The 12,320-nt window shown below is 36.6% G+C and overlaps 1 long non-coding RNA gene across 5 annotated transcripts in view; it reads left to right on the top strand.

Annotated features, from left to right (window-relative positions):
- Positions 1 to 12,320, top strand: part of LINC02663 (long intergenic non-protein coding RNA 2663) — a 434,814-nt gene that overhangs the window by 88,575 nt on the left and 333,919 nt on the right. For 4 of the 5 annotated variants that reach the window (XR_930643.2, XR_930644.2, XR_930645.3 and 1 more), the window contains exon 3: positions 3,255 to 3,348. This is a non-coding gene — a long non-coding RNA (long intergenic non-protein coding RNA 2663). Of the gene's footprint in view, positions 1 to 2,036; positions 2,119 to 3,254; positions 3,349 to 12,320 lie in introns of those variants that run through there. The other variant, XR_001747363.1, reaches the window with a different exon arrangement.

Below are 12,320 nucleotides of genomic sequence, written 5' to 3'. Positions count from 1 at the left end.
GTTTGAAGAATGCAAAATTTCCATAAGGAACTTACTATTAATAGAACAAACAAAACTTGTTTTTTAAATTCTCCTTTAGTTTAACCTTTTTTAAAACAAATTTGGCTATTTGTCTCCAAGGACTGAGAAAATAAGCCACAGTCTTTCTTTCACACAAGTCTTAGAAAGGTTTTCAATAGTCCTTAACTTTCTAGTATGCCACTAATTAAAATTAACTCTTCGGGGAGACTTTAGAAAAAGTATTCTTAAATTATAGAGGTGCTACCACATGTTAGGTTTTGTTTGTTTATTTAGGTCTTAAATCTCTATGAAACATCACTCTTGGAAAATGTCAGTGTATTGATTATGTTCCAAAAATGATACCATACCCTTTTATTAGACCATATCCAGGAGGCAATGAAAATTTATCTTATCTGATGTGACATTCAAAACAACAGTCTAGAAAACTAGGAGAGAAAAAAAAAATCCAAGAGCTATTTAAAGTACTGGTGTGTGACCTTAATAATCACTTATATCAATTCTGTGACTGAACACTTATTTATTGGTCCTAAGCCTTTGCTTTAGTTAGTAAAATCATTGCAATTAGATAAAGATTAAATATTATATCATATTTTTGTACTATTTGGTGCAGCACCTTTTAAATACTGGACCATCAGTAAATGCTAGCTTATGTTAGTTGTGGAAAGCTCAAATGGAAAGCAAAATAATAATAAAAATAATAATTACATTGCAAAATTAAAGAATGTTAAAGTTGTTAGCATAATATAAGTGATCCAAGTAAAAAGATCTTTGCCTTTGGGAGCCTAATTTAACAATGAGGACCTATTTGATGGCATTGACCATAACAATGGAGAGGGACACAATAATGAAGAGGAGTGAAGTGCACCTGCTAAGTTGTGAGAAGGCAGAACTAAAACCAGCAAATGTAAGACAGAGCACAGCCTTCCTACCCATATCCTAATACTGATATGCTACAGCTTCAAAGCAGAGGCCAAGTGCAGTCAAGAAAATCCTTTTCTCCACAGTTCCCTCTTCCTCAGCTTACCTACTTAGGTTTTTTCCCGTTTCTTTCTTTTTTTTTTTAAAGATCAAATTGGACAATAATTATACATTATAGGCTCCTGAAATAGGTTGAATTGTGTCCCCAAAATTCATATGTTGAATCCTAACCTACAATACCTTAGAATGTAATCTCATTTGGAAACAGGGTGGTTGCAGATGTAATTAGTTAAGATGAAAGTATACTTCATGGACTAGAGGGAGCCTCTAATAAAATATAATCACTATCCTTATAAAAAGGGGAAATTTGGACCCAGATATACATGCAGACCACCAGAGGCCAGGGAAAAGGCATGGAACCGATCCTTCCTCACAGCCCTCAAGGACAACCAACCATGCTAACACCTTGATCTAGGACTTCAGCCTTCAGAACTGTGAGGCACTGAATTTCTGTTGTTTCAGCCACCCCATTTATGATACTCTTTTATGGCAGCCTGAGCAGACTAGTACTACTCCTTTGTATAGACTCCCTAAGTCACATTTTCCAAAGTGATCTGATCATCAGAATTGTTTGTGCAGCTTTTAAAAATATAGATTTTAATGGAAGTTCCCACGAAAGATTCTGATTTAGAAAGTTTGGGGTGGGTCTGGGAATCTTTATTAAAACAAAACCATAAAAACAAAACTAAACAAAAAGTCTGGTCTATGATTCTGATGCAGAGTTGGATTTAAGAACTGCTACTCAAGGGAAAAAGTACAGAGATAATTTTTCCAATGTCAAATAAACTGGTTCTTTGGTTCTAGTTTTTTTCTCTGATTTAGTTGGTGAGCTTAAAAAGTGTTTTCCTCTTCTGGGTTTCTGTTTTCTCTTAGGCAAAATGAGGAGGTTGGACCTTACTATAAAGCACCAAAATTTGTAGTGAATGTTGCTCTTGCCAATATTACTTCCCTAGTTTTGTCAGTGATGAGAACATACAGAATGCTTCCTTCATCATTGTGCACGTGGCAGTCAGTAACAGTTCTACTTCCCTGTGTAGGTCAAACTCCCCATCCCCAGGAAATGGAATCCAAGTTAAAGACGTGTGTGCAGGTGGCTTATTGGAAGGTGAAGCAAACAGGGTAAGCAGAGGGAGAACTTGTATTTCCACAGAGTCTCAACAAGGGCTCAAACCGTTCTCCCACTGACACATGAGCTGAACTAAGCCTTCAAATATTTCCCAAATTGAGGTTAGGGGGCTGGACTTTGGATCACCACATTGATTAACCACTCACTAAATGGGGGTTGCTTTCAGAGAAGGTGAGGAACCTGTGTGAGAAAGCATCCTTCAGTTGAGGACAGCTCCTAAGGAGGAGTCAGGCTGAGAGGTGACAGGAGTGTCTCAGTTCTAAAGATGGCTGGTCTCCTGGAGGCCACCAAAGCACCTCCTGCAGTTTACCTCCTGCACATTGGATTCTACTTGTTTGGGATATTCACCCCATCTGAGAACAGCTCCCCCAAGATTATGTCTGGCCTCTCTTCCTGGGCAACTTAAAAAGAGGAATGTTAGTTGGATAAACTGTAGTTCTTATTGCTTGCAGCTTACAAGCCAACACTTATCTCCTCCCTTACTCTCCTGCTTATTTTAAATTCTCGTCACCCTCAGCTGCCCGCTCTGTTGGTCTATGTGGCTTGCCTAGTGGAATGAGCCACTATCATCACCAAAGCTTTCTCTGGCCATGGCTGCTGCTATAGTCAATTTATCATCATAACTGGACAAAGGAGTATCGAGGAGTCTCCTCTGTGAGTCACCTCAATTCCTGAGTGATTCACCATAATACTTGCTATTCACTTTTATAAGTATGTTCCTTTCAGTATTCCTGAAAGAGGTGTGCAAATTTTACCTATAATTTTTATACTTTTTACTGTTTTTTGTAATGGACATGGGAAAGACACTAAAGTTACTTTATATGGAGGCTTCATAGCTGTGATGGTTAATTTTATGTGTCAATGTGACTAGATCATGGACTGCCCAGACATTTGACTAAACATCATTTCAGGATATGCCTGTGAGGGTGTTTCTGGATGACAATGGCATTTGAATTGGTGCACTCAGTAACACCAATAACATTATCCATCAGTTGAGGGCCTGAATAGAACAAGAAGTGGAAGAAGGAGGAACTCACCCTTTTTGCTTCCTGTCTGACTGCTTGAGCTGGAATTAGTCATTTCTTGTCTTTGGACTGAGACTCACACCATTGGCTTCTCTGCTTTTCAGGCCCTTGGATTCAGACTGAATTGATATCGCCAGGTTTCCTGTCTTTTCAGCTTGCAGGCAGCTGATTGTGGGACTTCTCAGCCTCCTTAATCATGTGAGCAAATTTCACTAAATAATGTAAAGATTGCTTTAGTCAGCTAGCTAGGCTCTTAAATTCTTGAAAGTAAAAGTGATGGCAGGAGTTGACACTGAAGTACTATAACCTGTGACATGGGAGAAGGACTTTTTCTCTTTCTTCTATATAATCTTCACCCAGAATTCTATAAACTGTGACATGGGAGAAGGACTTTCTCTTTTTTCTATATAATCTTAGTCCAGAATTACTTTTGGAACCGGCTAGAAGAATTTCAAGCACTATCTTTTATTGTGAGAAATACAATAATATTAATTTAAAAATCATATACTTTGTATGCTAGATTGTTGCCTAAAGATATCCCAAGACCCCAAAAGGACATAGTTACTGAAAATCGTGTTCAAATACTGGTTATAATTATCAACATTAAGGTCCTTTAATTCCATATTCTGTGTATTTTAAATAGAATCCTCTATTAGGGAACCAGTATCACTCATGATAAGGGAAACAAAATGCGTTTCAAAATGCACATATTTATTTATGTTTTATATGCTTCAGATTCGAGAAGTGTATTCTGTCTTATAAACCGACAAAGCCTTAGAGGATAGCTCCGTGATTTGGTTCATCAATCTATCATGTTAGGCAAAACTTATTTCCAAATGTAACAACAAAATACATGATTAAATGTTACAATAAATAGGAAATATGGTTTCTAGTGAAAATGAAACGTCTTGTGTGTACTATCCTAATAATTTATCTCAAGGCTGTTTACAGCATCTTACCAATCTCAAATTTCCAATCAATGATGAATCCAGATCTTGCGCCTTGCATGTCATCATACAGTTTCCTTTTTATAAGGAAGGGCTGCTTTCATGTGTTACATTTCTTCATGCAAATTACACATCAGGTATGCACTAAACAAATTGGTAAAGTAAATTTTGTTGTGATCTAATTCCCATTTGGGGCTACCATAATAGTGTTTCCTAGGGAAAATATATTTGAGTTTCAAGTGTCATAGTTATAAAGGAAATACTTCCCCTGCCTTCCTTACCTCCCTTCCTTGATTTTCCCCACTCCTTTCCTTGTACTTCTTCCTTCTCTTTCATCCTTTCTTAAATATTTATTGAACATAAATTATGTGCCAGGACCTGTGATGGGCTCCAGGGGTACAGAAATGAGATACACTTCCATTCCTTTAAAGAGTTCACAGCGGGCAAGGTGGGAAAAGAAAAACATAAGCACATACTTACACACATAGATAAATGGGTAACTGCAATACAGTGCAATAAGTAAAATAGCAAAGAAAGATGCAGAAAAAAAGAGGGAAATCTGAGTCCTGAGAAACTTTGCAAAAAAGATAATGTCCTAACCCAACGAAGATGAGGATTTTTTTCCATTTGAGGAAATAGGAACATAGTATTACAGACAGAAGAAAAGGCAGCTCAAAGATCATAATGTCAGTAAAGCATGACGTATTTGGGAACTGCAAATTCCTCATTATCGATAGAACTTAGCTCACAGTAGGAGAGAGGTAAGAGATCAAGTTTCAGAGACAAGTGAGGAAGATCAAACATGTTAGACTGCAAGACTAGTGTTCCCAAATTCGATTATATTGGGAAAAAGCATCAGCAGAGTCATTTTGTGGGCATCAGGAATGGTGTGTGTTAAATCAATTTTAGCCTAAAGCTGCCTCCTCACATATATTAAGTTTGGTGTAAAGGTTTCTGTGTACATTGTGACTATAACCTAAATGGACTTGTAAACAGACTGTAGCCTATTCTTGTGCCAATCACTGAGTTTTTGCCAATGAAAAGTTCGCAACTTTTCAAACCATGTTCAAATAAGGCAAACAGCCAGATTGGCTGTACCTCACTTCTGTTTTCTGTATATCACTTTCCTTTTTCTGTCCATAAATTTTCTTCCACCATGTGGCTGCACTGGAGTCTCTGAGCCTACTCTGGTTCTGGAGGCTGTCTGATTCATGAATCATTCTTTTCTCAATTACCCTCTTTTAAATTTAGTTTGGCTAAAGTTTTTCTTTTAACAGTGTGCAAGTGCACACATGTGTGGGCCAGTACAATTCTGGTAACAGTTATTAGACTGAGTTGTAGAGTTGGTGAGTGTGATAGTTAATGGTGTGTCAATGGTGAGTGGGACACGGGGAACCCAGATTAAACCTTGCCTGTTGGTGCATCTGTGAGAGTGTCTCTGGACAAGAATAACATTTATGTTGGTAAACTCCATGAGATAGACGGCCCTCCCCTGCGTGGTCAGGCATCATCTCATCTGTTAAAAATCTAAAGAAAACAAAAGGTGGCATAAAGGAAAATGTGTGTTTTTTTTCCTGCATCACTGCTTGAGCTGGGACATCTCATCTTTTTATTTTAACTTTTATTTTAGGTTGAAGGGTACATGTGCAGGTTTGTTTTATAGGTAAACTCAAGTCCATGGGGATTTGCTGTACAGATTACTTTGTCACCCAGAACAAATCCACACATATCAATACTAACCTTTAATGTAAATGAACTAAATGACCCCATTTAAAAGGCACAGAGCAGCACTCTGGATAAAAAATTAAGGCCCAATAGTATGCTGTCTTCAAGAGACCTGCCACACACACATTGACACCCATAGGACATCTTATCTTTTCTTCTCTGGTTCTTCAGCTGGGATTTACATCATGGGCTCCCCTGGTTCTCAGGCTCTCACACTCAGACTGAATGACACTTCTGGCTTTCCTGGTCCTCCTGATAGCAGACTTTTCAGCCTCCATGACCATGCAAGCCAGCTCCTCACATTATACCTTTTATGTGCATTTGTATTCTATTAGTTCTCTTTCTCTGGAGAACCTGGACTAATACAGAGGATTAAATAAGTTAAAGGCAAAGATGCCAGTTAGAAAATAGTTATAGAGTTGTTAGAAATTGTAAAAGAGTATAGCAGTATCTCTTATGAAGACTTAGAGGGGAACATGTCAGGATTTAGTGGCTGATAGATCAAAGCAAGAAAAACGAATCATGGCTTAGTCATTCATTCTAACTTGGAAGACTGAATGGTTGAGTGCAGTAATTACTGAAGATATGAACCCTAGAGAACAAGCAAAAACTGCATTAGACCCATTAAATTTGCAGTACATGTAGGAAAGTTTAACTTGTGTTTTTCTTTGTTGCTTTTGTAATGGGAAGTTTATTTTACCCTGCATATTTTTTTCTCTCAGTTGTCTTAGATGTATCAACATAGCAGCATAGCCTTCTGTATGTTCCTCCCTGAGACTGTTGCCATTTTCAAAGTGACTTAAAAGATGTTTAGTGTGCTTTGTACAATACTCAGCATGCTACTTTGTGCAAATAGATTCACATACCTTTGGGTGAAGATTTTACCATGAGCCACCCTGAAGTTATCCATAAATGGACAATGACAGATTTTTCAACAAGTTGTCACCTATTTTCTTTCTACTTTCTCACTATCTTTAAGTGTAGCACCTCTGACATGAAAGTGTTTTACAAATGGTAACTCACTTATCTTCACACCATTCCTGTGAAATACAATTGTGATGAGAAAACCTGTGATATTTTGAGAGGCAGGTGAGGAGAAAGAAAAACACAGACTACTGATTATCTCTTTACTCTGTATCAGAGGGGGAAATTATTGCAGGACTATTCATTTCAGTTTTAAGTATTTCAGAAGCTTGTTTCTCCACAATTTTAATGTCTTGCAATTATCCCTTCACTGCCAATATCCCTAAATCTCATCAAATTATCAATTAAAAAATTAACCCAAATAGTTCTTTACATCTGAAGATAGGCCATTTCTAAATGTCATATCCTGGTGTTTCTTTCTATTCTACCTCAAACAAAGCCAAAGAAACTATACTTCTTCTAAATGCATCTCAAGTCCTATTCTAACACAAGTTTGTGAAATAGGGTTTTCAGGAAAACCATAGTCAGGTAAGATTTCTAAAATAATGCATTTGCAAATTATTTGTGACATATACATAGCAGCATGAGCTTTTTCAATTTTTCTCATTTGTGAATAGTTGGAACTCTGATGGGCTCATCTAACTTTGGATCTAAGACTGCATTGTTCTTAATGTTCTCATTCCAATAATTGCTGCTGCTTAATGTGTTTATTGACTCAGATACAATACAATTTTCTCAATTCATATATACCTGGGGAAACACACATTAATTAAGCAGACTTCTGCTTTTTAGATGCTCATAGAACTTATTGTGCTGGTGAACATTGGTTATTATTTCATGAATGACTTTCAAAACAAACACTGTGCTCCACGTTAATGCACTGAACCTCAGATATTCAGAGTGACTCACTTAGCAACAGGAATGCAGCTGGGAACCTGCTGGAACTGAAGAAAATAAAAGATGCGAAAATTTGTGATCACAGGCAATAGTCCCTATCACTGCACATTTTGAGCCTAGGTTGGCTTGTATAGCCACTCACATGACCTGTATAGCTACTGCATAGCCAGTGTCTCAAAGACACTGTCAATTCCAATCCCAGTTCTCTCTTTCTAACTGTAGCTTTAGGTATCAATGAACCTCTCTGATATTGTTTCCTCCTTTGCCAATATTGAGTTTTTAGTTCAGCAAATTCTTGCAACAAAATTATTCATTTATCAGGCTGTCTCTTAGCTGTGCACTTTGAGAGTTCTGAATGCTTATAACAGCTTCGTTTATGTTTACCACAAATTGGAAACAATCATGATAGCCTTCACCCAGTGAATGGATAGACAAACTATGCGTGCATGCATGCGATGGAATCCTACTGAGCAATAAAGGAGAACAAAGTATTGATTTATGTAAAATATCATGAGTAATAAATGCATATTTCTAAGTGAAAGAAGATATAAACAAGGTCTATATTCTGTATGATTCAATTTATATGACATTTTGGAAAAGGCAAAACTATAGGATGGAAAACGATAAGAAGCATCAGTGATATTCACAAATTGGAGTGAATGGGGGGTATAATTGAGTATAAAGGGACAGCACAAGAGAATTTACTGGGTTGATCCAGCTCTTCTATATCATGACTGTGATAGTAGATACACCACTCTGTGCACTTGTTGAAACCAGTAGAATTATGTATCCCAAAGGTGATTTTACTATATTCAGAAAATGGAACACAAACCAAACCAAATGAACTAACTGTATTAATGAGAATAATACAATGAAGAGGTATATAGGGAAATAAAAGAACGTACTTAACACTGGAAAATAGGATTTTGATTGGGTGATTTAAGACTAAAGTCAAAATGTACAATACATAAATTTTCTATTCAAGTTAGAAAATAGTTCACAGGTGTATGAGTTAGCAATTCTAAAACTAGCAGGCCCTAGGGTAGAACAACTAAATAAATATATTGTAGCAATTACAGCCAAAATTCTTGCTGTTGGAGGAAGCTCCAACATCCTTGAAAAGGCTAGAATTAACCCTTGATGTTTGATTTGAATTGGAGGTATCAGAATTATCTTGATTTATTTTTAATAAGTAGATTCATAGATTAGATAGATAGATAGATGATGGATGGAAAATAGAAGATAGATGGGTAGATAAATAGGCAGATAGGAAATACATATGGGTGTATATGTAAGCCCGAATTACTATACAGACATCTATTTCCTAAACTTTATCAGCTAAGAGAGCCTAGAAATAATGACACTCTGCAGCATTCAGTATAGCATATTCCAAGATCTCTGTTTCTAAGCCTCAAATACCAATAAAAGCAATCTTGAAGAAGTGGTATATTCCAGAAGTGGGGCAGAAAAAAATAGCAGATGGGCCTGGAGCATCTTGTGGTACCAGAAAGTAAGGATATGCTCCAAAAAAAGATGGGTGGCTTGTCAAAAGGTCAAGGAAAAAAACCAACAGAGTTGTCAGTTTTAAAAATTGGAACATTTTGGACCACAAAACTGTAGTAGTAGTAATAATGGACTATAACCTCCAAAGAAAATAAATATCTAAAATTCTGTACTGAAATAAATAAATCAAATGAATAAATAACTGGTGAATAATACACAGCTCTTTCTTATGAAGAATTTCAACAAATAAATGAAGAAGGAAGAGAAAGAAAGAAAATCACCACTAGAACCCTGGGGTAGTAATTGTTTTGGGTAGGAGCCTCCAAGGGATGCAAATTAGTAAGCAAAAATTTGAAGAGAAACAGGATACTTGCATAGTCTCAAATCACTCATTAAAAATGAAAAAGTAATATATTTTCAATCAAGAAACTAAGGCAAAGTCACCTTCATTTGATTATCACAGTTCTCCAGTAATAAGACATATTGACATCTACAGTCTAATATGATGCACTGAGACAGGTACATTGCTTCTGTGGTACTCTTGTTGATAATGAATATTCAACCTTCATAATAAAACATCAAACAAACCCTAATTAAAGATGTATGTCAAATTAACTGGCCAGTACTCTTCAAAAGTGTTGAGTTCATAAAAGAAAACTAAAGACTGGATTTTTTTACAGATTGGAAGAGATTAAAGAGACTAGCAAAGAAGGGCAATTCCAGATCTTGGATTGGAACCTAGAACAACAGCAGTAAATCTATGAGTGGAAAAATTTATGAAATATTAATAAAGTCCATAGTTTAGTTAATCATATCATACCAATCAACATTCATTTATATATGTTGCTATTTGTACTATGGGATACAAGATTTTATAATTATGGGACACTGGGTGAAGGGGTATATGGGAACCCCCAGTGTATTTTTTCAATGTTTTTGTCAATCTAAAATTATTTCAAAAATAAAATTCAAAGAAGTAGACATTGTTATGATATAATTTGATGAGAAAGCAGGGTATTAGCTAATGTTGCTCATTATGTATATACCAATGCAATACTCTTTCTGTGAGATTAATGGGTTTGTTACAAGGAGCTAAAGGACAGTTTTAGGCTACTTTGGTTCTCTTTTGGGTAGAGAACACTGCAGTGAATTGTGGGATGGTGTAAGCCTGTGGATCCTCAAGGGTAGAGTATGACTAGCTCTTCTTGGCATCCTTAGGCTCCTTTAGATTCATCAGGGCTGGTCATGTAGTTGACCGCCCAAACATAGAAAGGATACAAGGAATGGTATTTATGGACATGAGCTTGGGGTGAGACTGCTTGTGCCTGAATTCAGCTTCATCACTTGATCTGTGGTCTTGGGCAAATTAATCACTCCATGCCTCAGTTTCCTCATCTTTTAATCAGGAAGAGAAAATAATAGTACACATCTCTTAAGATTATTATAAAAATTAAGTGAGAAAACATTTGCCAAGTGCTTAGAACAGTGCCTGGCATTAAGTAAGCCCAGTATAAATTTTAAACAAAACTAAATTGAAGGAAAGTAAGAAAAATAGAAAATAGCATCTTAGAAACTCCAAATTATCTGCGGGTAGATAGCATACATACAGGCATGGTTTTAAAACATTTTACCAAGCAATATGAAAACAAGCACAAATTAGCTTTGGTATAAAGAATGAGTACTTTACATGCCTAGTGAGGGAGTGAGCCCAGTCAAGTGATGGTAATCAGGGAATGTTAAAGATAAATCATTTTCTTCATAAATATTATGTATCTGATGAAGCTATCCTCAAGGGTACTTCATCATTTTTAATAGAGATGAATTACATTTTATTTTTGAATAGTTAACACATTTTAGTACCAATAGTGAGAACAAGCATCTGCTTCACTTAACAATATATTTAAACTGGCAGCTTTTGTAAGTTCTGTAACTTTGGCAGTTGTATACACCCATCATCATTGCAATTATCACCTCTTTTGGTAATTTAACCTCAATTCCTGATCTCTCTCCTAACATATACTGCACTATTTCTATCCAGTTAGCCTTCCAGTGTCTCAATTCTACAGATTTAAAATGAAGATTCCTCATATTTTCTTTAAAAATAAATTCTTTTTTTCACACCATTTTTTCAATTACATAAACGTGTAATGTAACTTCACTATCATTTTGGAAACTTTTTTGTACTAAATTCAATAGGTAAACAGTTCTTAAAATTCTTCATTTGTTAGTCAATGGGAACATATACTGAATACTGGCGAATGGCAGACATTTCACTAAGTACTAGGGATACAACAGGGAATTAGACGTTATCCCTAGACACAAGGAAGTGAAGGGTAAACAGAGGGTTACTGAACGTTTCATTTATTTCTCACATTCCCTATCTTACTTGCTGTTAGTCAGAGCTGGGAGACTAGTCCTGTGGGCTTTGCGCAGAAATGATTACACATCATCTTGAGCTGAGGCAGTGAAGTGCGCACCATTAATTCTTGATGCATGGTGGCTGAGAGCCATGTTTTCAACAGAGCCTGAGATATATTTGCATGTGGGAGATTTATTTGGGAAAATCCTCTTAGAAACAAAATATGAAGGATGGAAGAAAGGATTGGGCAGATGGAGAATAAGAGGCATTCACAACCTAGGCTTCAGCTGCTTTTGTGGGAAGTCCTGGACTTTAGGGGGCTGTCAGGATTGTCCAAAGTTGAGGCGAAGGTGCTCACCGTTTGCCCTCTTTTATCAGCCAGATTTTAAATGTAGGCTGATGCCAGGACTAGGCAACTACCTTTAGCCAAATCCTAGGGAAGTTACTGGGTGTGGATTCAGCTGTGAGCCTTCAGCAGGCCACAGCTTAGGGAACTGAAATGAGTGTCCTGGTACTGAAGGGGGATGAGGGATGGCCCAACACACCAACTACTGTGTTACAGAAACTGTATTAGCCTGTTGTTGAGGCTGTTACTAGGACTTGAGGATTACAAATAAAGCTACTGTGAACATTCATGTACCAGTCTATATAAGGGAATATGCTTTTACTTACTTTAGGTAAATACCTAAAAGTAGCATGAATTACTATTGTAACGTTGACAAAAATCAAGGGAAATTATAAGTACATATCTCTTTCTTCATTCCCTATTCTGTCCTATTGGTATATTTCTCTATATTTATGCCAATACCACTTTT

This window comes from Homo sapiens, chromosome 10 (assembly GCF_000001405.40).
Source record: "Homo sapiens chromosome 10, GRCh38.p14 Primary Assembly".
Taxonomy (NCBI): domain Eukaryota; kingdom Metazoa; phylum Chordata; class Mammalia; order Primates; family Hominidae; genus Homo; species Homo sapiens.
Note: the sequence above shows the minus strand (reverse complement) of the source record. Positions and strands in the feature narration are given on the sequence as shown.